General features: G+C 55.3%; 1 protein-coding gene across 2 annotated transcripts, besides 6 other annotated features; it reads right to left on the bottom strand.

Moving 5' to 3' along the window:
- Positions 3,816–6,965: an enhancer, noted in NCBI's record as "VISTA enhancer hs2179". NCBI's record gives its function as "enhancer in: blood vessels[5/7]" and the evidence as "EXISTENCE:transgenic organism evidence [ECO:0001131][PMID:17130149]".
- Positions 4,544–4,643: an enhancer, noted in NCBI's record as "active region_19942". NCBI's record gives its function as "activates an Ori minimal core promoter by ATAC-STARR-seq in GM12878 lymphoblastoid cells {active_cell/tissue: GM12878}" and the evidence as "EXISTENCE:reporter gene assay evidence [ECO:0000049][PMID:35858748]".
- Positions 5,823–5,983: a silencer, noted in NCBI's record as "fragment chr3:52463989-52464149 (GRCh37/hg19 assembly coordinates)". NCBI's record gives its function as "represses an EF-1alpha promoter that drives an FKBP-Casp9 reporter gene in an ReSE screen in phorbol 12-myristate 13-acetate-treated (for megakaryocytic differentiation) K562 erythroleukemia cells {active_cell/tissue: K562(+PMA)}" and the evidence as "EXISTENCE:reporter gene assay evidence [ECO:0000049][PMID:32094911]".
- SEMA3G (semaphorin 3G) lies at positions 8,885–20,953 on the bottom strand. Of its 2 annotated transcripts, XM_024453642.2 has the most exons (17): positions 20,763–20,953; positions 18,866–18,919; positions 18,597–18,757; positions 18,409–18,471; positions 18,035–18,154; positions 17,669–17,759; positions 17,424–17,540; positions 17,114–17,259; positions 16,784–16,898; positions 16,604–16,673; positions 16,227–16,371; positions 15,717–15,948; positions 15,530–15,621; positions 14,770–14,811; positions 13,821–14,049; positions 13,377–13,516; positions 8,885–11,923 (listed from the first exon to the last, which is right to left on the bottom strand). In XM_024453642.2, exons 1-17 carry the CDS (start codon positions 20,875–20,877, stop codon positions 11,453–11,455), a joined length of 2,403 nt encoding a protein of 800 aa, XP_024309410.1. In that variant the 5' UTR covers positions 20,878–20,953; the 3' UTR covers positions 8,885–11,452. The 2 variants fall into 2 exon arrangements, with proteins under 2 accessions (XP_024309410.1, NP_064548.1); NM_020163.3 differs by lacking the exon at positions 18,866–18,919.
- Positions 13,417–13,922: an enhancer, noted in NCBI's record as "H3K4me1 hESC enhancer chr3:52471583-52472088 (GRCh37/hg19 assembly coordinates)". NCBI's record gives its function as "activates a minimal SCP1, AML or CMV promoter by ChIP-STARR-seq in primed H9 embryonic stem cells {active_cell/tissue: H9 hESC(primed)}" and the evidence as "EXISTENCE:reporter gene assay evidence [ECO:0000049][PMID:30033119]".
- Positions 20,050–20,926: an enhancer, noted in NCBI's record as "H3K27ac-H3K4me1 hESC enhancer chr3:52478216-52479092 (GRCh37/hg19 assembly coordinates)". NCBI's record gives its function as "activates a minimal SCP1, AML or CMV promoter by ChIP-STARR-seq in naive H9 embryonic stem cells {active_cell/tissue: H9 hESC(naive)}" and the evidence as "EXISTENCE:reporter gene assay evidence [ECO:0000049][PMID:30033119]".
- Positions 20,927–21,803: an enhancer, noted in NCBI's record as "H3K27ac-H3K4me1 hESC enhancer chr3:52479093-52479969 (GRCh37/hg19 assembly coordinates)". NCBI's record gives its function as "activates a minimal SCP1, AML or CMV promoter by ChIP-STARR-seq in naive H9 embryonic stem cells {active_cell/tissue: H9 hESC(naive)}" and the evidence as "EXISTENCE:reporter gene assay evidence [ECO:0000049][PMID:30033119]".

Here is a 25,741-nt window from a genome sequence, read left to right on the forward strand (position 1 = left end):
GGCAAGGTGGCCGGGCGCAGTGGCTCATACCTGTAATCCCAGCACTTTGGGAGGCCGAGGCGGGCAGATGACTTAAGGTCAGGAGTTCAAGACCAGCCTTGCCAACATGGTGAAACCCCATCTCTACTAAAAATACAAAAATTAACCGGGCACGGTGGTGGGTGCCTATAATCCCAGATACTTGGGAGGCTGAGGCAGGAGAATCGTTTCAGTCCGGGAGGTGGAGGTTGCAGTTAGCTGAGATCGCGCCACTGCTCTCCAGCCTGGGTAACAGAGCAAAACGCTGTCTCAAAATTAAATTAAAAAAACATAATCTTCCCGTTTTCGTTCACCTCAGATAATTGTATCACAATTTTTGTTAACTTTCAATGTTTATATTATTATGATGCTAGAAATACTGTTTACCACTGAGCCAGGCAGTACACTATGATTACCTTTCCTCTTTTGTACAATGTTTTTTTCTGAAATTAATAATTGCTTCTTTTTTGGTATATACCTATTGCTAATTCTTCTGAAATGTTGCAAATGATCAACAAAATGTCTCAAAATGCAATTTTCCTCATAGACCAGGCATCAGATCACTATCAGCTGGACTTCTTTTCCTGAAGACCTGCCTCCCAGAGCCGCCGCCTCCAGTGCTGGCTGCTCCTAGAGCTCCTGCACAGCTGTCCTCCTAGGGCTTCCCACAATTATGCCCTTTTTCTTCATTTCCTTTCTCTTGGGTTTGACCACCCAATGCTATCCTTGCTTATCCGGGCGTCCAGGGAAATTTTGTCAGAGCTCTGCAAGTAACAGGAACATTTTTTAATTGTGAGCTTTCATATAAAACACAATATTTAACCCATTCTAAAGATTCAACTCTTGCAGTGATAATTCACAACTGAAAGATGCTCCTTAGATTAAGACTTTAGTTCTAAACCTAGAGTTTCTGTAACTTGGGTCACCAGGCATATTTTTAGGGATCTGTGGTAGTATTAATATCTTTTCTTAAGGAGTCTATTTGTATACCCAAGTGTGAGAAACACTATCTTAACTGAGAGTAATGGCCCCTAACAGTGCCCTCTCGACTTTAGCTTCAGTGGGTAGAAAGGGAGCTTGGGAGGGGGCAGTTTTTGTCACCTAGATGTCAGCTGCCCTACCTCTGTGTACAGTTGACTTTGTGGATACTTGCTTAGCTAACACGACAGTGCATGCATACACACACACACACACACACACACACACACACAGCTATTAACTATTTCTTACTCTTTGTATTTTTAGTCTCCACTGATGTTAATAGCCAACCCTATTTTTATAGGCTGGAAAGTCCAACTTTGAAATGTTCTATTCTTCATCTGGGCCTAATCAGTCATTCTCCACTAAATAACTGGCTTCTTTTTTTTTTTTTTTTTTTTTTTTTTTTTGAGACAGAGTCTCTTTGACCTCGTGATCCACCCACCTCAGTCTCCCAAAGTGCTGAGAATCCAGGTGTGAGCCACCACGCCTGGCCTCTTTTTGCTTTTCTTTTTCTTTCTTTCTTTCTTTCTTTTTTTTTTTTTTTTTTTTTTTTGAGAGGGAGTCTCACTCTGTTGCCCAGGCGGGAGTGCAGTGGTGCGATCTCGGCTCACTGCAACCTCCACCTCCCGGGTTCAAGTGATTCTCTCCTTCCTCAGCCTCCTGAGTAGCTGGGATTATAGGCACGCACCACCATGCCAGGCTAATTTTGTATTTTCAGTAGAGACGGGGTTTCACCAAGCTGGTCAGGCTGGTCTCGAACTCCTGACTGCCTCGGCCGCCCAAAGTGCTGGGATTACAAGCGTGAGCCACTGCACCCAGCCCCTTTTTTTTTTTTTTTTTGAGTCAGGGTCTCACTCTGTTCAGTGGCATGATCATGGCTCACTGCCCCGACCTCCCTGGGCTCAGGTAATCCTCCCACCTGAGCCTTCCAAGTAGCTAAGACTATAGGCATGCACCACCATGCCTGGCTAATTTTTTTTATTTTTTTTTAAGAGATGAGGTTTCACCATGTTGCCAAGGCTGGTCTTGAACTCCTGGGCTCAAGGGATCTGCCCACCTTGGCCTCCTAAAGTGCTGAAATTACAGGTGTGAGCCACCACACCCAGCCAGCTTCTTTCTTAAATAAGCTTTTAATTTAGAATAGTTTTAGACTTACAGAAACATTGTAAAGATAGTATAGAGTCCCCATATATCCCAAACCTAATTTCTCCTACTATTAACACATTAGTATAGCAAATTTGTCACAATTAAAGAACGAATATTGATACATCATTATTAACTAAAGCCCAAATTTTATTGAGATTTTCTTGTCTTTTCTGTTCCAGGATACCACATTGCACTGTGTCGTATCTCCTTCGGTTCCTCTTGGCTGTGATGGAATGGCAGACTTCCCTTGATTCTGAAGACCTTGACACTTCTGAGGAGTACTGGTCAAGTATTTTGCAGAGTGTCTCTTAACTGGGATTGTTCTGATGTTTTTCTCATGATTAGACTGGGGTTATGGGTTTTGGAGGAAGACACAGGAGAAGTGCCATTTTCATCACATCATATCAAAGTTACATAGTATCAGCATGACCTGTCACTGTTGAGGTTGACTTTGATCATTTGGCTGAGGTAGGTTTTGTCAGATTTCTCCACTGTAAAGTTACCCTTTTTCCCCCTTTTCTTTTCTTTCTTTTTCTTTTTTTTTTTTTTTTAGATGGAGTTGTACTCTGTTGCCCAGGTGGGAATGCAGTGGTACAATCTTGGCTCACTGCAACCTCCGCCTCCCGGGTTCAAGCAATTCTCCTGCCTCAGCCTCCTAAGTAGCTGGGATTACAGGTGTGCACCACCACACCAGCTAATTTTTTTTTAGTAGAGATGGGGTTTCACCATGTTGGCCAGGCTGGTCTCGAACTCCTGACCTCGAGATCCACCCACCTCAGCCTACCAAAGTGCTGGGGTTACAGGTGTGAGCCACCGCACCCAGGCTTTTCCTCTTTTCATACTGTACCTTCCAAAGGGAAGTCACTATGTGGAGCCCACAGTTAAGTAGAGGTTTTTATGCAACTCCTCCTTGAGGATGGAGTATCTACATAAATTATTTGGAATGGTTCTGCATGGGAGATTTACCTATTTTATTCTCTCCTGCTTATTTATTTAGCCAATCTTTTTTTTTTTTTTTTTTTGAGACGGAGTTTCGCTCTTGTTGCCCAGGCTGGAGTGCAGTGGTGCGATCTTAGCTCACTGCAACCTCTGCCTCCCGGTTTCAAGTGATTCTCCTGCCTCAGCCTCCCAAGTAGCTGGGATTACAGGCATGCGCCACCATGCCTGGCATTTTGTATTTTTAGTAGAGAAGGGGTTCACCAGGTTGGTCAGGCTGGTCTCGAACTCCTGACTTCAGGTGATCCACCCACCTCGGCCCCCCAAAATGCTGGGATTACAGGCGTGAGCCACCATGCACAGCCTATTCAATCATTTAGTATGGACTCCTGGACTTTGGGTTACAATGTAATAATACTTTATTTTGTTGCTCAAATTGCTTTGGCCACTGGGTGTTCATGTGTCCTTTTCACACATCCCCATCACTGTGTGTCTGGTTTTGTTTTGTTTTGTTTTTGAGCACTTTTTTACTTTCTGACACTGCAAGATGCCCCAAGCTCATCTTCTTTTAAATGCCTGTTTCATGACAAACACATGTTTAAAATTTTTAATACCTATTTTCATAACTGATGTGTCTTATTAGAATTAATTACTGTTTCATAACTTAGGAGCTGGGACAAATCAGTTCACTTAGGGATAGTAGAAATAGATGTTAAATAAAACTTTCCCAAAGCACCTGCTCCCCTTCCTCTAATCATTACCTTTACGGGAACCGTAAACTAAGGCCAGAAACCTCAGATTTTCCTTCAGCTTCCCTCTCTGTTCAGCCAACCTCTTTGTTGTCAGTTCGACTGTTTTTCAAATGTTTGCCTTCCTCTCCTTCCCATTGTCAGTGCTCAGCTCAGACCTTGATGCCTCATAGGATGGGCAGCAAAAGTCTGCATGGTTTCCTGTGTCCACTTGCTTCTCTGACACATCCACCCTTTTCCCTTCTGCCAGTTACCATAAAACATGTGCTAACTCTTTGCTCAGGATGGCCCTGCTGAGATTGGCATTCAAGACCTTCTACAAACAGGGCCTTCCATAGCTGCATCTCCCAGGACATCCCACCCACAGGCCTTCTTCTCTGGCTGCCTCAGAACACTGGGCCCGGGCCTGGGGTGCTCAGCCTGGAGAGTCCTGGCATCCATCTTCAGCCTGTTAAACACAGCCTAAGGGCTACTTCTTCATCTCTAGGCACTCTTACTGTCTCTGTTTGTACCCCCTGTTATAGCCCATGTCATTCTCTGTCTGTCCTACAGTTATGGGTCTGTCTTTCCTGCTAGATCAGAAGCTCCAGGGACCTGTCTGTCTTATTAACCTTTCTTCCCCTCATGATGCCTGGCCCAGGACTCCACGTTCAGAGGCAGTTTAATGTCTACAGAACTGATGGATGCTCCATACCCTGTATTCATAAGCCTGTGTTTTGCTGCCAAACACCAGAGGGCACTGTTAGCATGTCGATGAAGATTATAAACCCTCAGACCTGGAAGGCTGGGAAAGGCTTATGAAAATCTTGCTTCTGTTTTGGGATTACATAAGACTTATTGCGCCTCAATTGTTCTAAACACATCTGTTCGAGTTTATTCATGAGGCACGTTCCTGTTGGGGTTAGAGATGAGTTTGAAAGCTCCCCGTCACAGGTCAAATCCTTAGACAAGACTGCCTTCATAGTCTCTCCAGACCCAAAGTGGCTCTCCTAACCCACCAAAAATATCTCCCAATTACTCATTGAGAGGCATCCAGATGCCCTCTCCTCCACCAAAAATGGCGACTGCCAGTCCCAAGGGGGAATGTGTGATATGGTTCTATTCCTTTTCTGCCCCACCCTCCTCCCACATGCACACATGCACAGGTACCTGTCCACACGAATGCACACTCACTGCCATCAGGACCTCTGGGTGGTGGCTCAAACGGTGGCTCAAAGGCTCTAGCCTCTATGGGCAGGGTGGGAGGATGCTATGAGAAGCAGCACCTCCACTGGCCCTGACCCCAGGGAGACAGCATCAGTTTCCCATGTGCTCCCAGTCACAGCATCATGGGGGCCCCCAGGTGTGAGAAGTCTCCCTAGTGACTAAGCCAGGGAGCTCCATTCCAAAGGAGCTGGCTATTTGCAAAGGTGTCATGGCTTGTACATTTTTCCAAAAAATGACAGAAAAACTGAAGAACTGATTTTTTTCCCAAAACAAAAAACCCTTGCCCTCACTTCTCCCTAGCAAACCTGCTCTAACCCTGGGATCCCTGAGCAACATGACAGCATGAGGTCCAGATGGAAGGGGTAAGCCCCAGGAGCCCCTTCCCCTTGTCTTTGGTGTAAACTGGCTTCTTGACCCTGCCCTGCACACACCCCTAATAAACAGGAAGGCATCCGCGCCATTAGTATCCATCCTTTTCAGAGCATCTGAGACCTGTCTGGACCATCAAAGCCATCCCCAGCCCCCAGGAGCCTACTGGAGGAGACACCAGCCTCGCCAAAACAATTCTCCATTGTGTTCTTCCCCTTAGAAATCATGGGTTTGTAAACAGGCCCTTACATTTCAGCAGGTCCTGCCCTGGCTTTGTGCTGGTGTGTTGTTTTTTCTTCCCTGAACAATGTCCTTTCCAGTAGGGCCAGCCGTTCACACCATTGTCTGAGACCCTTGGACTACAGGAAACATCACCAGATTCTTATCAGTTGGGGGCAGGAGTGGGGGGGTGAACAGATGAGATCATGTCCACAGAGCAAGTGGCTGGTGTGCCACGTCATTCCCCATGCCTTCATCTGTGAGAGCAGAGCCCGCTCGCCCTCCATCAATCTGGGCTTCATGTGTCCAGAGTCCAGTCCCCTCTATTTGGTGGTAGACACCTGGACTCTGTTCCAGGCCTCTGTTGAGTCACTTTGGAATCCTATCAGTCTGCAACTGTCCCTTTGCCCTGGTCATTCCTCACAGCAGTGAAACAGGCCCTTTTGGGTGGATTAGGGGGTACTCTGGTCATCATACTCTCCGGGGTAAAGAGGTCAAGACTGGTCAGCTGAGTCCTCCCATCAGCAGTGTCCCTGCGTGCAGGCTATTAGCTAGCTGCTGGAGGCCTGGCCCAAAGACAGCCCCATATCCCTTACACCGCCTCCCTGGAGACTTTGCAGCAGCCCTCATCCTCAGTGGAGAGTAATTTTTTTAAAGGCTTCATGAGGAACCAGGAGTTTCCTTAATGGAAGTCCAGCAAGGAAAGTGAAAGGCTTCATTAGGATGCAGTCTCTAAGGGAGAGGGGCCCAGTAGTGGTACCCCCAGCAAAGGTGGCCAGGGACTGGGCAGTGGGAACGGGCACAGGGCCACAGCTGCCTTGCCTCGTCTCCTGTACATCCGAGGGATGGCTGAGTACGGAAGGAGAGCCAGGGTGCGGCCCAACAATTCCCAGGCACCTTATCAGATTTTTATCTATTTATTTATTTATTGAGACAGAGTCTTGCTCTGTTGCCCAGGTTGGAGTACAGTGGCGTGATCTCAGCTCGCTGTAACCTCTACCTCCCGGGTTCAAATGATTCTCGTGCCTCAGTCTCCTGAGTAGCTGGGATTACAGGTGTGTGCCACCAGCTAATTTTTGTATTTTTAGTAGAGAAGGGGTTTCACCATGTTGGCCAGGCTGGTCTCGAACTCCTGACCTCAGGTGATCCACCTGCCTCGGCCTCTGAAAGTGATGGCATTGCAGGTGTGAGCCATCGTGCCTGGCAACCTTATCAGATATTGTGTCCAAACCTAGCCCTACCCACTGTCCCTCTTTCCGAGTTTAGAGTCTTAGAAGACCCTGGGAATTTGTTCCTGGTGTGTGTTGAACTTTATTCTTGTAGAACCCACTGCAATCCAAGACTTAGGTGAGGCTGGGATGGGACCTTAACTGGGATGGAAATTGGGCTATTTCTGAGCAACTACCCCCTAGCTCTAAGATGTGGTTGGCCAGAGGTGCCTCTGTTTGCTGGATTTCCAGAGGCATGTGAGCCAGTCTTCTGGGGCCCAACTGGCTGGAGCTGCAGCTGGACCCCCTGCCAGCCCACAAAGAGGACAGGCTGGCTGGAGGTACACCAGGTTCTTGGGGGCTGCTACCTGACCATTCCTCCAAGCAGGGGATTCTAGGGCTGTCTAGGACCTGACCCCAAGCTTAGCCAATGAAAGAAAAGCCCAGGAGTCATTTGAGAAAGTGGAAACTGCTGTTTTCCTCTCTTATTCTGACTCCTTCCTGCCCCTCACCTTCTTAGAAACGAGTCTGTTGGATGGAAGGACAGCCACAGACTAGGGGTGAATGCTAGCCCTCCACAGAGGACCATGACAGACACAGGAGGGGCCAGAAATAGGCTGGTTATGGGAGCACGAGAGCCGGGAACAGAGCACAGTCCAGGCCCAAAGGGCAGCAGATTGGCCGCTTGGCAGCCCTGTCCCGGGGTAGCAGAGTCTACTCTGGCGAGGGTCATAGGAAACCAAGATATGGCTATTCATCAGGAGGCTGGGGCTTCCAGAGCCTACAAGCTGGGAAGGCAATTACTAATTAATCAAGCTCACATGTTAAGGGAGGGAATTAACCTAATCAACATTTTTCCAAAGTGTGTTCTTCAAAATGTTAGAAACATGAGATGTTAGCTGCTCCATGGGAAAAAAAAAAAGAGAGAACCAAATGTTTTGGAAAAGCACATAGCACATAGTAGGCATGCACATTAGCAAGAGATCATCACAGGACTTCTCAGGGCCTTCACAGGGCAAGCCAGCAGGCAGCATTTCAGCTCTGTCAGGGCCAAAGGGGCAGAACACGGGGACCACGAGATCATGGAGGGTCCCGTGGGATTATAGTTATCTCTTGGAACCACTGGGCCAGTCTCATTCTCTAGGCCCCTTTCCAGCTCTAAACCTGTTTGGGAAGTCATGGAACAGAGTCCCAAAGAGCAGAGGAAGCATTAGACGCAGAGGAAAGAGCTGTGACAAGACAACAGAGAGAGGCTGAAATCGCTGAGGCAGGAAATAGGGCTTGAGATGGGAGGGGGAGGTGGTGTGGACCAGGAAGGGGTCTGGTCCAGAGGGGTCTTCCGGACCACCCTTGGGAGAGTGATGCAAGAGGGAAGAAGGGGGCTCTGGAGGCCGCCTTCGCACACCCTTCCCAGCCCAGCACACTGTGCCAGGTGGGTGCCCTGGTGACACTTCTCAGTCAGAGGTGATGATGCTTCCTGGGGTGGGGTGACAGGGTTTCAGGTTCTGTCAGGCCTAAGTGATCGTGGAGGGGGCAAGGAACAAAAGGAAAGGCCAGCTCCAGGGCCCAGACTGCAAGATGAGACTTATGACTGACCTGTTAAGACCCCTAGTCTACAGCATGGATCGAGGGGCCTGTTCAGGCAAGAGGCCCAGGGAAGTCTCCCTGGGAAGGTGGGGTTATGACCCTTCCATCTTCCTCTAGCATCAGTGGATTCTGCTCTTTGGGCTGAGGTGTTGATGTCAGTGGGGAGTGGGAGCCATGCCCAGACGGACCTCCTGCAGTGTGCCCAATAGGTCAGATGTTCGGGGCCTCCCCTCCTTTCCAGAAGCCACAGTCCCCACAGCACAGCCCCAGTCCCCCAGCCATGAGGACTTAATATCCATTGGTATGTGGCTTGGGATGAAGGCAGGAACCATGCCAAGTGTCACTGTGACAAATGTCAAGTGTTGTTGTGAAAAAGGAGCAGAGCTGCCTACGGGCCCAGCTGCCCTTTGCCAGTGTTTTTTTTTTTTCTTTTAGTTCAAGATCCTCCTGAAGTCCCAAGAAGGTCAGTCTTACAAGCCCACAGGCCAGGATGTTCCTCATTTAATGAGCAATCTCGGCTTTGTACAAAGCCCTCTAACTCCTTCCTTCCCCTGATACCCATCTTCCTCCTTTCTAGAAAGCACCACCCAGTCTCTTTCTTTAAGTCCTTTTCCAGCTCTAAAACCTGTTTGGGAAATCATGAAACAGAAGTCACTCAGGGTGACCTTCTTTCTCATGGAATGGATGGGAGGGCTCTTCATTTTCAGCTCATGTGCGCAGCATCAGTCCATTTAGTACAATACACAGATACACAGTAATGATATAATTATGTGATGCAAATATTAACTTCATCCCTTTCCTTGTAAATTCAGCTTTTCTCACCAGAGCTCAGGGGCAGTCATGACAATAAAAATAACAATAGTAATTACAAGAAATGTGCTCTGAGTACAGAGAAACCACAAGGCCCATCTCAACACACAAATACAAAAACAACTCGCATTTACGGGGCGTTTCCAGGAGTTAATAGCATACAGTACCATGGGTAGGGTGTGGTTGGCAGAAGCTGTCCACTTTTTCTAAGTGCAGGTGTTCGTTGCTGAGGATCTTGTGCTCCTCCTCCCTTCGTTTTCTAGAGTAACTTCCCAGAGGACCCTGCCTGGAGCCTGCCAAGCCAGAGTCCAGCGTAAAGGCCCGGAGGGCTGTTTGTGTCTTTCTGGCCTCCCTAGGGTAGAGGGCAGAGCTGGCTGCAGCTCTGATACCCTTTCCTGGAGCTCTGCACTCTCTCCTCCCCTCTTTAATCCCCTCTGTCTCCCCTCCCTTCTGCTCTTCAGCCCCCATCCTTTCCTCCTCTCCTCCTCTGCCTTGACCAGCTGACCTCCCAGCAGACAGCACCGCAGGCTGGAAGGCTTCTCAGGGCGTTGATAGGTTAATCTCAGTGCTTCTGGTTCATTTATTACATGGTCAAAGGGGAGAACGGAGGGACTATTTCAGGTCCCAGTTCTCTGGAGGTGCCAGGGGTAAGGGAAAGATAAAACCCAAGGCAGTCTGGGTTTGAGTTTCAATAGGGCAGGGAACCCTGGCTTGCTTTTTATCTTTTTTTCCCCTCCTTTCTTTGTCTTGGTTGTTTTAATGGAGGGAATCTCAAACCCAGTGCTCTTATCTCCTTCCAGCCAGTTTTGTGTGTCATGAATGTGTTCATGTGCAGGCTGGGAACAACTTTTCATTTAGTCCTCCTCCTCCCCTCTGTGCTCCCCAGCCTGAGAAACTGGTGATGGCAAAAACACCTCCCCTACATGCCCAGGCAGAACGCGTCCTTGCCATCCGAGCCTTACCCCCGAGAATCAGCGGGACTTACACTTCTTCGTCCTTTTCTCTACCTTGTTTCCCCCTTAAAAGAAAAACAGTCTTCCTAAATCCATTTAGCATAAAACAGAGATTCCAGAGATGGAAACACTGGGTCTTCCAGGTGGCTTCTGAGCTAACTGATGCCATCCTGAGTTCTTGTGGACACCTGTTCCTGCCTGGGTCCCACAATCTATCCTAAGGGTCTCCTGCCCTCTATCCATCTCCATATCCTCTCAATCTTCTGCATCCCTGGCCCTGATTCTGAGGGCTGCAGGGCTCACAGAGCCTCCACATTCCCAGCCTCCAGGGCTGCGGCATGCTTGCATCACCCTGGGAAAGACAGCCCACTCTTCCCGCCTGCACCCTTCCCCAGCTCCCCCACCCTATCTCTAGTCCACAGACACAAGGGACAACAATGCCCCAGAACCCACCCCTCCCCGCTCGTGGACATGGAGAGCCTGACAATGGGGAGGGGGTCCTCTCAGGAGGGGCAGGCATCCCAGCAACCCTGGCCTGGGGAAGGGAAGTCAGGCTGTGAGATGCCCCCACCTGGTTTACAAAGTGAAGCCTGAGCCCTGACCACCCCAGATCCCTGGGGGCTCTAGCAGTCTATGCCTCTAGATTATCTACACCTCTCCGTGATTCTCAGATGGAGAAGAGGCGGTGGGCAGTGGCAGGGAGCCACCAAGATATCACGGCGCGACAGGAGGGGAGGTGCATTGTTGCTCCACCTTCCCAACACCTCTGTGTTCCCTCCCCAAGTCGGTCAGGTAGGCTCTTCTTACGGGGTGCTAGCTTAGAGGCCATTTCCACCCTCTGGCTCCCTGCAGGCCCCCTACCGGGATACCCCCTAGACGCACCCACACACCCACTCTGAGGGTCACTCAGAATGGCCATTGTTCTGTAGGCTGGGAAAGAACCACCCAACCCTCTTGCCTCTGGGCACACCCGGAAATGTGTTGCGGAAGCCAGGCCATCTCTGAGAACAAATGGCAGATCCCTTGGGGCTGCCAGCAGCCAGAGGGTGCTGGCTCCAGCTGGGTCTAAGAGCACAGAGAAGGGCAGGGAACAGGCTTCAAGAACCCAGCCCCTCCATTAGACCCCAGTAGCGGTGTGGGGGCAGAGACACCTGTCTCTAAGAGGCAAACAGACATCCTGACCCCTCTGCCCTAGCTGGGTGGGTGGGAGATGCTGGGGGCTGCTAGTGGGCCCCCCAGCCCATCCTGACCACCCCTCCTCTGCCCCCTTCTACGTGGCCTCCACCTCCCGGGGCGTCCGATTGTGCTCGGCATGCACCCGGCTCTTCATCTTCTTGCCTAGCTCCAGCCCTGCCCAGCTCTTGCCCCTGGCCTGCTTGCCCCGGCTCCGGCTCCGGAAGCAGCCTGAGCATTCCGTGGTGCCCCTGCACCACACGCGCTCACAGTACTCATCCACCCGGGGCAGGTTGGCGAAGCCAATGAGCTGCAGGATGTCCTTGTACCAGGCCTTGGGTGGGGTGGAAGCCAGGCCTCCCCGGGCTGGGGGCTCCTCTGGCTTTGGCTCCGGAGGGAACAGGTTGTCCAGCTGTGAGGCCACAATCACCACCAGAGCCAGGCGGACCACAGTCTGGGAGAAGCCATGCTCCAGAGTGGTGCAGGTGTAGGTGCCCGCATCGAAACGGCTAAGCCTGCGGAACAGCAGCCCCCGCTCCGTGTGCAAGACTCGCTCGTCCGTCTTCACCTGCCATGCGGGCGGGAGGGCGTGAGTAGGGTGCAAGGTGGGAGTTTACCATCGGCTTCTCTGCCCCAGCTTTTCTGCCATCCTTGGGGCCCAGTGCCTGGGCACTTCTTGCCCTATTCTCCCCTTCCCAGGAGGGGACCAGCAGCGTGGCAGTCTGGGCCTCCTCTAGACCACCAGCTAATTCAGGTGGGGCCTCACCTTCCCATAGCCCAGGAAGGGGCCTTCTCAAGGATTTGACTGGCTGGTTTCTCCCTTAGTCAGAGGACTCCAATCTTGGCCTCAGAGGGCCCTGGCACACATTCCCAAGGAACATAGGGGCTAAGATGTTATCCCCTTAGCCCTTCTGGAGGTACCATCCCATCTACAGGCTTTTCTCAAGGGAGGGGCTGTGCCCCCTGGCCCAGAACTGGGCTTCAGAAACTCCCTATGCTACACACATACAATGTGCGTGTGCCCACGCACACATGCACGTGCACGCACACACACACAGAGACACACACAGGGCCTTCCCATCCTGGTCTGAACCGTTCATTCCCCCAACGGTGCGAGCTGACAGCCCCAGCCCAGGGTGGGCTGATCGCCCATCACAGCGTGGGAAGTGGGAGTGCCGCCCTGATCCCAGCCCGCCTCTGGCCTGGACCCTGTGTGGGTTTTAGTCTGCACATCTGTGTGTTGGGGGTGGATTGCTTGAGCCATTAGCTAGTGTTGTGAAACACCATCTTGTTGCTCCCCTCCTCCCCTGGGGAATCTTCTCAGTGCCCAGCCCAACAGCTGGCCCAAGGCTGGCCTCCCCCAGTTCCCAGGCTGGAGGGAGAGCCCCTCCTGTAATCAATCCACTCCTGCCCCTCCCCTTCCCTGCCCCGGCCAATGCCCATCCTCAGGCCCCAGACTTAAACCATCCCTGGGGTTGATAGACCTTTCCGGATGGGGGAGGAGAGGCCCTGAGCAGACAGCTGGACTCCAGGGAGGAAGTGTGGGGCCAGGCTTTGAGGGTGGAGGGCAAGGACCAGTGGTTAGGGACCCAGAAGGTTCTCTTCTGTTGTGTGTGTGTAGCATAGGGAGGTTCTGAAGCCTAGTCCTGGGCCCAGGGCACAGCCCCCTCCCCTGCCTGGGGCAGAAGAGAACCAAGAACCCCTGGAGAAGAGAATCCTTCAAAGATGAGCCATGTGTGTAAACATGGGAGACTTACTGGCCTGCCCAGACCCTCTTCTCTCTCTTCCATCACCCACCCCTCAGACTGGGGGAGTTCCAGCCACATCTGGCCTGGGCATTCCCAAAAGGCAAAAATAGGGCACCTCCTTCTAGGCACCCCAGGAGCCTAATACAAACTTTTTTTAGGTTAATCTTGGCAGATTCCCCCCAGAACCCCTTTCTGGGGCTCAGGTCTTGGGGTTCAGGATGGGAGGTGACCTCAGGACACACAGAGGCTAGAGGCAGGGGTCTCCTCACTCACCTGGTCAGGCCCCTCATCCCCTGGCCTCTGCAAGAGCCAGCGCACAGCAGCCTGGGGAGACTTGGGCAGGCACTCCAGGAAGGTGCTATTGTGCTCCGTGCCGTAGACCATGGTGGCTGCCACAAGTCCCACTGCCTCTTCTGGAGAGAGGCAGAGGTTGGCTCAGCTTGGGAACTATGGGACCCAGATCCCAGTGCCACCACCTGACACCACAGCTCAGGAGCCCCACTAGTATGACAAGAACTTAGGCATGCGTGGATCCCCAAGCCAGCCACTGTGTCCAAAGACCCTGCTTCCATGCACTAGCAGGAGCTACACAGAGAGGGAAACTGAGGACTATCCGTCATGACAAGACCAATCTGAGAATGCACTTCGCAGGGGTGGAGCCGGGCCACAGGGGTGAGTTCCAGCCCAGTCTGGGCCCTCCCACCTGCCACCACTCACCTTCCTGGCTCTGGCCCAGGCACTGCAGGGCAGGGTTGCCGTGCCGGATGTCCTGCCGGCGGAACCGGCGCTTGCCAAGGCTGGGGCGGTAGTGGGTACAGGAGGCACCATCCCAGGCACAGTATGGGTCCCGGGCCAGGCAGCACTCTGCACAGGCAGTGCCGTAAGTCTCACATTGGTGCAGCCGCAGCTGGGCCACACCCAGCCGAGAGCCCACGTATAGCATTTGCTGGGGAGGGACAGAAGCAGAGCCTGAGGTGAGCCCAGGCTTCGCCCACACGCAGCCAGGCTCTCAGCCCCTCAGCTTCCTGAGACCCCTGCCACTTGCAGGAAGTCTTCCAGAACCTCTTGGATTCATTCAAAAAACAAAAAGTGTTTATCACCCATCTGCTGCATACCAGATTCTGTGCCAGGACACAGAAGGGATGGAGGAGAACCAAGACCTGGGATGTTTTCTCTAAGGGGCTTCTCCAGGCCCTCCCAGGTGCTGACCTTTGCCCTCTATCCCAGGGGCCTTTATCCTGAGTTGTCCCTGACCTTAGAGGTGCACCTTGCTTTAAGCAACCCTTGCACGAAAGTTAGGATTTACACAAAGATACACTGGAGCAGATAAATATGGGGAGACGGGTTTTGCCACTTGGCAAATATAGTAGGCCTCTAAAAAGTGGCCTTGTTGGACTTAACATCTGGATTTTGTGTTTTCAGGCACACTTTTGCCTCCCTTAGGAACTGGCCTTTGTGACTATCCCCTTATCTGGACATGGCCCCACTTACTCGGTGCCTCCAGTGCCCACTGGCCACTTGTTGCAGGGGCGAATCAGGCCTGCCTCAGCACAGCTTTCCCCAGACTACAGTGGAGCTCGAGGAGGCTGCGGAGCAGGGGCAGAGGAGGAGGCTGCGGAGCAGGGGCAGAAGGGGGGTCCAAGAGGAGGGTGGCAGCTGTTCTTACCCTTTTGACAGAGATCTCCATTTCGGTGATAGGTGTTGGCACCTGGGGAAGGAGAAGGGTCTCAGTGTGGGTCGGGTGGACCAAGACCTGCCCCTGCACCCCTGCTTTCAGTCTCCTCCAACCCTGGGGTGGGAACCACCTAGCTCCCAGGCTGGGTCTTGCACTCCCTGGCAGCTAAGGCTAGACAGTCTTTCCCAGACGATGGGTTACAAGAAAGGCCCCCTGGTCATGGCTGGCCTCCAAGCAGGAGGCTTGACTGAAAGCACAGAGCTAGAGTGTCCCCTCTCTCAGCCTGTTCCCCAGCAATGAGGCAGCTGTCCCAAATTACCCAGCTCAGGTCCAGGAGGCACAACAGGCCCCCAAACACAGATGACCCCCTTCCTGAGTCTCTAGAGGGGCCAAGAGAACATCTAGGGGCCTTGGGATCTCAACCATCTCCTCCTTGCAACTTGAGTCCTACAGGGGTTTGCAGAAGGTTGCTTCCCTTGACCATCCCTCCCAGCACCCCAGGCACTTTCAGCTCACAGGCTGTAGCTCTGGGCCTCCAGTCATTCATAAGTGGCTGCGAGGCCTCTGCCACAGCGGAGGTGCGGGGTGGAGGGGGGGCATCTCTTTCTGCATCCCCTCCCCAGCATCCTGCCAGCTGCAAATTCAGTAAAGACAGGCTGGCTCCCTACTGGGCTTGCTCCTGCATCCCTGTAGCCAGGCTCAGACCCAGAGATGGGGCTTGGAGGGACCCTTCCATCAGCCCCTTGCTTACCTTAAACACCTGGAGCTCCTCCAGAACCACTTCCTCAGGTTCAGCTGAGCCCCCTGCCTGGAGAGCGATGACTTTGAGCACAGACCCTGAGTCTGGGGCCAGGGAGGAGGGGTCAGCGGGACAGGAGGGGACAGCCAGAGACCCCACACCCCTCTCCAGCCTGGCCACCCTGGCTCAGCTGTCCTACCAGTCCCCAGGAAAATGACATCGTAGGTCCCATCCTCTGCCTCCACGCGGTCCACCACGATCTGGTGTAGCTGCTGGGCCAGGTGGGTCTTGACAAGGACAGGGCGGCCATGTCGAGGCCGCACAGGCCAGAACATGAGGGGGTGGGCTCGGGCAAACTGCAGCACCTCATCTGGGTAGTCCTTGGTGCTGCCAAAAGGCCGTCCTGGCTGTGCGGTCATCTTGCTGGGGCACTGTGGGCAGCAGGGAAGGGAGTGCCTGAAGTATCCTGAGACAGCACACACCCTCCACCGCCAGTCTGTTTCCACCCCAACCAGGGGGACCTCTCTCACTGCAGGAGGGCTCTCCTCTTCCACTACACCCACCCCACCCCACCCAGGCCCTCTGGAGCCCAGGCTTGGCCAACGTCCGCTGCCGTGGGGGTGCATGGGGACATGAGGCCACTCCAAGGAGCCCTTCCCCACATCTGCTCAGGCCTCGCTTCCCTGGCCTGGCCCCAGCAGATACTCACCACGCCAGGGCGAGGGAAGGGCACCTTGCCCCCATAGGGCCCCCACTGGTGCTGAGGCCCATCTCGGTGGGCAAAGGGCCCGTTGAAAACCTCCCAGATGTCTGCCATGTGGTACACACAGACGGCGAAGCCCTGGAACACGGCACTGCCGGGGCACATGGGACAGTCAGGCCAGAGTGGCCATCAAGGACAAGAAGGGAACAGCCTGGTTCCATGGGCAGGACAGAGGGTGACAGTGCCTGCAGCAAGCAGAGACTCCGAAAAGCAAAGACCCCAAGGCAAAGGCAAAGAGAGAGTCAGAGAGTACAGTCACAGGTCACCGAATCAGGGACAAAGACAGGGGCCCATCGCAAGGCCGGGGTGCTGGGTGTGCCCACCTGACGGTGCTGAACAGCGCGTACACCTCGAGGCTCTTCCCGGCCTTGGGCCACAGCAGGAACACATCCTCTGGGGTAGAGAAAGGAGTATGAGTGTCATGGCCACCGCCAATGCCCTGACTCACCAGCTCTCAGCCCTCCCCACTCCCGAGCCCTAGGCCTGCTTGGCCAGGCCCTCACCTAGCTGGTCAAAGTGGGTCTCGGCACCACCAGGGCCGGGCACCGAGCAGACCAGCCTGGCCTTGAGGAAAGTGCTCCATTTGTTCACCAGCACCCGCTGGCCCCCAGCATCATTCTGCAGGATAAGGGGCCAGAGTCACGCTTGGGCCCCACGAGGATGGGTCCCACCATCCACTCTTCTACCCTCACCCACTCGGGGAGAGGTATGCATGTCAGCTTTGCATCCTTGCCTCAGTTTCCCTACTGCTGGCCAGGGGTGGGGGGAGAAAGGTCTGGGAATGGGAGGGTGTAGCAGGGACTTGAACCTCACCACCCCTTCCCAGCTCTTACCACGCAGACGCGGCCCACGCGGCTGACAGTGACATGGTTCGAGCCACCATCGGGCGAGGGGACCGTCTCCGAGAAGAAGAAGTACACCTTGTCATTGTCCTGGTCAGAGTTCTCAGGGATCCGGGCGGCCATCACAAACCGGGGGTCTGGAAGGGTGACAGGGTCATGCTGGGTGGAGGGGCCCCACAGGGGAGGATGGGAGTAGAACCCAGTGGGGAGAGGAATGGGGCAGGGGACTCCCACTGGAGGCTGGTGTCCTAGCTGGGAAGGTAGCCTCTTCACCCCTGCCAGTTCCAGGGGCAGGCCTCACCGTGCAAGAGACTCTGGTCAGAGTCGGAACGCAGAGCTGGCCGAGGACCTCCACTTCGGAAGATCATGGCCTCTCGCCCCAGGAAGTCAGCAGTGAGACCCGTGTACAGCTCCCCGTCTGGGGTGGGGGTTGGGGAACAGAGTCAGGGGAGGAGGCCCAGGCCCAGCAGCCGGGTCCCTCCCTTCCCAGTGACATAGGCCAGCTGCCACCCTCCCTGTTCTCACCCTGGCCTGGGCATCACCCACCTATGAAGGTGCTGGCAAAGGGACGGCTGGGCTCGTGAGGGCACCGCCCCCGGCCACTTTCCACACTGCCAGGCTCCAGGTGGAGCACATGCTAGTGGGAGGGAGAGAGGGAGGGAGGGGCGTCACCTGGGAGAGAAGCACCAGCAGCCCACACCCAAGCAGGAGCCCTCGCGTGCGGCCAGAGAGCGGGGGTGGGCGGAAGGCGTCCTCATCCAGGGCCCCTCTAATGGGGTCAGCTCCCCAACACAAAGGCGCCTTTCAGGCCCCTGCCCCTCTGTCCCTACCCAGGCTCAATGGGAATGTTCAGGCAGCAGGGAGGAAATGTCACTGCCTCCCAGTCCCTTGTGGGGCCTGGCCCAGGCTCACCTCCCCACGGTGGCCAACTGTGATGAGGGCACAGGTGGGCTGGAAGGCCCCAGTGCCACAGGCTAGCAGGTGGGTCCGGTTGTGAGGCTGTAGCACCCGCACGAAGTTGGCGCACTCTGTCTGCGGGGAGAAGGAGGGGGTGGTTGAGGGGTGAGAGGGGGTGCCCACCATCTCCTTGGGGCCCAAGGCTCAGCCCTGTCTGGCGGTCAGCTCTGGGGAGGGGGGTGGGTGTGACATTCCCAGCAGACCTTCAAAAGCCCTCAAGATCTGCTCCAAATGCCCCTGGTAGAGGTACCTGGGGCGTGGTCACGGATTGTCCTGGGGGTCAGGGCAGGGTGTCAGGTCGGGGGACCATCCCTCCCGACAGCACTCACCAAAGGATCTCTTCCCTTTCGAACACACTCCTCCCTCTGTCCTGGCTGCGGTGGCCACAGGACCTGGAACACAGCCCCGCTGACCTCAGGTCCTCCCCTGATCTCACAGGCTCAGTTTCCCCATCTGGCCTCCCATCTGGAGGTGCCCAGTTCTCAAACAGACCCTCTTCCCTGCCAGTCCAGCTCACCTCCCGGGGATCTGGCCATGCCTGGTCCAGCCGCAGAGAGTAGAGGGCGTCCAGGCCACCCAGAAAGAGGCGGTCTCGGTACTCATCTAGGTACATGGCCTGGAGGTTCAGGGAGCCCTGGGGGCCCAGAAAGATGGCAGAGCGGTTGGCAGACAGGAGGTCTAGGAGGATGTATGGGGAGGCAGATCAGGGCCACAGCTCAGCCTAGTTCCCCAGCCAAGGAGTGGAGGTGGAGGCCCCGGCTGAGCATCCACCCCTGACACACTCACATCTGGAAAATGTTTCCATCCACATGGTGCTGGAAGGCTTTCGGACCATGGCTCCTGGGGACAGGTGGGACGGGAGGCTCAGAGCCTCCCACCTGGCCCAGCCTACCCTGGGGCCTACCTCCCACCCCTCCATTCCTTAGCCCTTCATCATGCAGCTAACATCTTCCCACTGTCCCATCTGTGCCCTACCCAGTCCCCAGGGAAGAAGGCCCCAACCAGCAGAAACTAGAGCAAAGTGCTGGAAGATCCTGGAGGAAGGGCGGGAGTCTTTGCAGGCCGCCTGGCTCAGCTGGAGGGTGGGCCAGCAGGCGAAACTGTTCCCAGCAGAGGGGACCCCTGGCAATGGCCTGGGTGCAGAAAAGGGAAGGTATGGCCGGGAAGGGCTCCCACCTCCAGTCCAGGGATGCGGCCAAAGACAATTTTCTCCCCACAGATGCTGGCTATCCCACCCCAGAGATGAGAGCGGGGAGCTGTCTGGGGACATCGGTCCCAGGAGTTGAGGATCCTGAGGTAGGTCCTCCGGGCTTGGCTAGGGAGGTGGAGGTAATGGGGGCAGTAGGATGTGGCAGGAAGAGGGTGCTGGCCACCTTTGGGAAGGCCCAGAGTGTCCTATGCCTTCCCTACGGAAGCACCTCTACCCAACACCCATTCCACCCCCAAAACTCATCAACGGTCTCTTCCGGGAAGCCCTCCATGGATGACAGTACCTTGGGGAACTTTCCCTATTTGGGGCTTTTTCTAGCAGTCTGACCTCCCCGCAAAACCACAGCTCCCGGAACAAGACCACATTCCCCTCAGCCTCTCCAGGGACGAGCGCCATCTCCCCCAGCAGACTGGGCTTCCCAGGGGAAGGTGGTCACCCCTCTGGTTTCCTCAGGAAGGATCTGCCAAGAGCCTGTCTCGGGCCTTCCCTGGGCCCATCCGTGGAGGCCTGAGCCGGCTCACATGTCTAGGGTAGAACACAGGAACCCCCAGGCTGGGATGTGCAAAAAGGGGAGGTGAAACTCCCCCTGGGCTGGGGCGCTTCTTGGGTGCAGGAGCACATGAACAAGCCCACTCTGGGAAGTGGGCTGCAAGGGGGGTCCTCCCCTTCTCTGTGGCCCCAGGACCAAGGGATAGCATGCTGCCTGCTCTCCCGTTGGCCACCCTGGGCAAAAAGTGCCAGTTGAGCCCAGACAGACCCTTCAGCCCCACCCTCTCTGTCACTCTCCCCTGCCTGGTCCCTTCCTCTGTCTCCTCCCCATCTTTATTGAGCTCTCTCAGGGTCTCCATCTGTCCCTTTCTCAGCACTCCCCCTCAGGTGCCTCCCACCGCCACCCTGGTCCTGTCTCCCAGGACCTGCCTCCCTCCCACTCCCCGAGAGCTGTGCAGGGAGAGGCTCCCTCCCCTACAGCTGACCAGGCACCCAAGAGCCCAAGCCACCCAAACAGGGCACACGCACACAAACAGGGCACACGCACCCAAACAGGGCACACGCACACAAACATGGCACACGCACACAAACTCGGCACACGCACCCAAACAGGGCACACGCACACAAACTCGGCACACGCACACAAACACTGCACACGCACCCAAACAGGGCACACGCACACAAACACGGCACATGCACCCAAACAGGGCACACGCACACAAACAGGGCACACGCACACAAACACGGCACACGCAAACTCGGCACACGCACACAAACTCGGCACACGCACACAAACACGGCACACGCAAACTCGGCACACGCACACAAACTCGGCACACGCACACAAACACTGCACATGCACACAAACACGGCACACGCACCCAAACAGGGCACATGCACACAAACACGGCACATGCACCCAAACAGAGCGCACACACACAAACAGGGCACATGCACACAAACAGGGCACGCAGGGGCTGGTACCTCGGTAGGAGAGCCGCAGGCGGGGCACACTGGGGCCGGGGCTGGGGCCAGAGCTACCCCCATGGAGCAGGAGGCCCCCTAGCAGCCAGCAAATGGCCCAGGCCGAGGGGGCCATGCTGGGGAACTGAGGGCACCGCTGCCGCCTGCCTGCAGAGCCGCCCTCTGGTCCCGCTGGCCGCCGGTTGTAGTTTGCTCTGCTGCCACCAGGCCACCACTTATAAGGCAGTGGCTCCACCCAGTCCTGGGCGGGAAGAGGGGCGGAGGAGAGAAGGAGGCTGGGGCCTTGCCGTCCACCTGCCGCTTCTCCTTCCACCTTGTTGGCCCAGTGCAGGCTTTTGTGCCACACTGGCCAGCTCCCCATTGGGAAGACCTTCCCAGCTAGGGCACAGGCCATGTGTACAGAGATGTCCACAAATGCAGGTCCCCAGGCTCCAGCAAAGTGACAAGTGGGGAGAGAGCCTGGAAGGGAGGTCAGGGATCAGAGGTTAAAGTTGATGGGCTGGGTAGGGGCCTAGCTGGGCTCTGCCTTGTTCTCTGCCCCTCCACTGCCCACAGCAGAGACCTTCCAAACTGGCCCTGCCCCAATTCCAGGATATTCCAGCCCCCTGAAGCTTTGGCCAGACTCTCCAGCTCCCCTGGGTAAGGGTGGAGGGCCATTCCCAGCCCAAGGGGCGCCATGTCCTAGACAGGTGTTTGAGGTCCGGCAACACTTCATAGAGCCAGCAAGAGATGACTGCCCAGCCTCTTCCACCCAGGCCTGTCCCCATCTGGCTTCCAGGCACCCCAGCCTCTCCCCACATCTACATGCCCCATCTCAGCTCACCAGGCTTGCTTTGGGGTAGGGGACAGGGGCATCAGGGGACTCCATGCCGAGGGAACCTCCCCTTGCCCTGCCTCCCTCAGGCCTCCAGTCCTTCCAGAGACTCAGGGTCCAGAGCTTCCCCAGGTCAGTGATGGTTCTTCCCAGGGACCCCATGCCCCATAGGCCCTACAGACACCTATGATCTCTTAGAGGTCACTTCCCCCACCCTGAATACTGACTGGGTGGCGGGGGGCACAGAAAGCCACAGAAGAGGGCCAAAGGGGAAATGGGACTGAGGGCCTGAATCTGGGGTGAGTGACGGGACCTCCCCATGCTCCCTGCCCCAGAACAGTCGCCACCTCACCCCACCCCAGAACCCTACACTCAGAACCTGAGGCCCTGGGCACTAAAGAGATTTTAATTTTGAGCTGGAGTTTGAGTTCCCAGGATTCTAACAGCTCCTGCAGGTTGGGCCTCCCACATGGACCGGCCTGGGCCCTCTGATGGTGGTCAGGGAACTTGCGGGGCACTCAGAGAGGGAAGGACCTGGCCCAGGCCACAGAGCAGGCTGAGAATGGGTCCAGCTCAGCTCTGCCCCTTCCTGGGACCCTCCTTTGCTTCTGGGCGTTGTTGGGAGTATGGGGACCCCACCCTCCTCCCCTACCTCAATCCTGAAATGGAAACAGGTTGGCTTCTTGGGTCAGCATGACAGGTCTCAGAGACCTACAACTCTGCCTCCCTGTCCCCAGCTCCCTTCACTCACACATGCCTTCTTCAGCAGGGGGCTGGCCTGGAGGTGGGCAAGGGGCTGCCCACAGAGGCCAGTGATGGAGCTCAGCCCAGCCCTGCCTCTGGCCCTGCTGGAGAGCCTTGGCCAAGGCCCTTCCATCTCTGGGTCTGCCTCTTCCTCCCAGGGCCAGGGACCAGCCACCCTGGGTGTAAGCAGCCTTCATAACCTGATGAGTGGGCTTGCGCAGGGGCTGCTGTCAGGGTGACCATATCCTGGGACCTTGGAGTGGACTGCTTCTGTCTCTGTTTCCCTGGGGAGGTGTGGCCAGCACACTGCCCAAGCTGGGGCCAACTTCTAACTGGAGACTGAGCTAGGCAGCCCTTCAGCCAGCATGTGACCACCAGCGGCGGGCAGGAGGCCCAACACTCCTCAGCCTGCCAGCCCATCCTGGGGTCTCAGCTCAGCCAGACACCCAGCAGGGGCTGCAGGGAAGCCTGGGTCGACTGGGGAAGGGTGTGGGGGCAGCCTACTCCACACTGCGGAAAGAGCCTGTGGCAGGCTGGGAGTCCGAACTCTACTGTTAATGTGTGTGGCCTCAGTCAGGTCCTCTCCTTCTCTGGGCTTCAGTTTTCCAGGCCTGGGGGCAGAGGGTAGGGATCGTCTCTAAAGGCCCCCCTGCTTGCCAGCTGCAGGTGGGAAAGACCACAAGGGTGCTCCGAATTCGAGGATCAATGGGCCCAGACACGGGCATCGTGTGTCATCTAGTGGACAAAGAAGGAACTGCAGGAGGCCCCCAAACTCGCTGTGTCAGGCCCTGTGTTGGGGTAGCAGGGCCACCCAGCAGAAACAGCAGCCTCTTGAGGACGCTAGCAGTAACCAGGCAAACACAATATAAAGAAGCAGGAGCAGTGGAAGATGCTCCAGTGATTGCTCTTGATGGAGGAAATCAAGGGAGGCTTCATGGAGGAAGCACTATCCAAGCAAAAGCCCAGAAATGGAAAGGATGCAGCAAAACAGGCAAAACTAGGTGATGCATGAAGGATACAAAATGCCATGTACTGGTGGGAGATGGTGAGCTGGGCTGATACCTATGTGAAGTGCGTGTTCATGCAGCAGGTGCCACCAGGTGGATATGTGGAGGGTCACAGCCCAGCCTCTCCCAGCCAGAATTCTGGGGTGGGCATGCCTGGAAGGAATGGATGCCCCCAGTCCCCTCCCCACCAATTTCATGGATGGAACAGGGATATTAGGACAATGCCATGCCCCCTCCACCCCCACGGACCTCCAGCTGCTTGCAGAGGGTGAGCCCCCCCACTTCCCATCAGCCATCCCTCACAGCTCCTCCCGCCCCACCCCAACCCTCCTACAGTATCTTCTGGGGCTTCCATCTGCAAGCAGGGCCATTCATCTCCTCCTCCTGTCCCAGGACCTGTCCCCCTCCCCACCACAGCTGATGAAAAGAGAGCCAGGACGTGGCAGAGCCCTCCTTCCCCCACTGCCCCTTCCTGACAATCCTCACTCCCTTCAACCCGAGCACACGTGGCCCTTGTCTGAGCTTCCCTGGACCCCATATCGCTTCTCAGCTTGGGTCCCTTTCTCTGTTCCCTGGGTGTTGCCCACACCCACCATCTCCCCTGTACTTCAGCTCACTCCTGTCAGGCTCCCACCCCTCTGCTCCACGGAAACCCTCCTGCTCAGGCGGCTGAGGCCTGGGGGCCTGCAAGTTCCCAAACCCTGGGGCCACCAGACAAACCCAAAGTGAGTGAGATTCTACAGAATAACTGGCCTCAGCTCTTCAGAGGTGATGAGGAAACACTGAGGACCGTCACAGGCTGGTGGGGAGTAAGGAGACAGGAGGACGAGGTCACGTTAGTGCCATCTTGGATTGGTTCCTGCTCCAGGACAAGGACTTTAGGACAACTGACAGAACTTCAATAAGCTGTGCAGATTAATTAGCAGTGTTTATGTCAATATTCATTTCCTGTGTTTGATCCTTCTGTGGTTAAAATGTTAACATTTAGGGAAGCTAGGGTACCTGTAAATGGGAGTTCTTTGTACTATTTTTGCAAGCCTGGAATTTCAAAATGAAAAGAAAAAAAGCAAAAAACCCCACTAAAACCTAGTGTTGGGAAGTAAGCTCCACTTCCCAATACCCCACGGCTGAACCTGTGTCTCCTCCCAGCTTCCATATCTCAGGAAATGGCAGTTTGGCCAAAAAGCTAAGGGTCATTTTGGATTTTCTTATTTCTCACCCTTCACATTCAAGCCTTCAGCAAACTCTGTCCATTCTAGTTCCAAAATGTGCCTTGAATCCATGTACCCCTGCCCACTCTCCCCAGCACCCCACTGTACTGGAAGCCACCGGGCTTTCTTGCCCAAAGCCTGCCGCCACTTCAGGCCAGCTCCTAGCTCCGTCTCTCCCACCCCTTTTGCCCTCTGCAGCCATCACCCCTTACATTGACTGGGTCCTCATGGGGCCTGGCACTGCCCATGTCTCCCAAGACTGCTGGGGCTTGGTTTCCAGCCCAACACTGCCTTTCTGCTCCTGAGACCTTCCCAGTCTTTCTCCATGGCCTCCCATGGCTGGTTCCCTGTGGTTCCCCCAGATCTCATGCAGAGTCAGCTCCTCTAGGGAGCTTTCCCAGACCACTGTAACTCATGGGCCCACCATGCCTCCAGTCCCCACTCCAGCCCACGCTGGCTTTCCCACTGTACTCATCTCCTTAAAATTCCACCAGATTAGGCCGGGCACGGTGGCTCACACCTGTAATCCCAGCACTTCGGGAGGCCAAGGTGGGCGAATCACTTGAGCTCAGGAGGTCAAGTCTAGCCTGGGAAACATGGTGAAACCTTGTCTCTACTAAAAATACAAATATTAGCCGGGTGTGGTGGCAGGTGCCTGTAATCCCAGCTACTTGGGTGGCTGAGGCACGAGGATCGCTTGAACCTGGGAGGCAGGGGTTACAGTGAGCCGAGATTGTGCCACTGCGCTCCAGTCTGGTGACACAGCGAGACTCTGTCTCAAAAAAAGAAAAAGGCCGGGCGCGGTGGCTCACGCCTGTAATCCTAGCACTTTGGAAGGCCGAGGCAGGTGGATCACGAGGTCAGGAGATTGAGACCATCCTGGCTAACACGGTGAAACCCCATCTCTAGTAAAAATACAAAAAATTAGCTGGGTGTGGTGGCGGGCGCCTGTAGTCCCAGCTACTCAGGAGGCTGAGGCAGGAGAATGGCGTGAATCTGGGAGGCAGAGCTTGCAGTGAGCTGAGATCGCACCACTGCACTCCAGCCTGGGTGACAGAGTGAGACTCCGTCTCAAAAAAAAAGAAAAAAAAAATCCACCAGATTAGGGACTGGGCCTCACTGTGACATGCCCCAGGATCCAGCCCTGTGCTGTGCGCGTGGTGGGTGTGTGAGTGAACCACTGGGTGGTGCACCGGCTGCTGG

Source organism: Homo sapiens, chromosome 3 (genome assembly GCF_000001405.40).
Source record: "Homo sapiens chromosome 3, GRCh38.p14 Primary Assembly".
In the NCBI taxonomy this organism is placed as follows: Eukaryota; Metazoa; Chordata; class Mammalia; order Primates; family Hominidae; genus Homo; species Homo sapiens.

Bases quoted from the DNA above. Each gene is read 5' to 3' on its own strand.
- SEMA3G (XM_024453642.2), bottom strand. From the start codon at position 20,877: ATGGCCCCCTCGGCCTGGGCCATTTGCTGGCTGCTAGGGGGCCTCCTG. The intron at 18,758-18,865 runs GTGAGTGTGTCA...ACATCCTCCTAG, and splicing joins GATGGAAACATTTTCCAGAT to ACCTCCTGTCTGCCAACCGC. The intron at 18,155-18,408 runs GTGAGTGCTGTC...TTCTCCCCGCAG, and splicing joins GAAAGGGAAGAGATCCTTTG to ACAGAGTGCGCCAACTTCGT.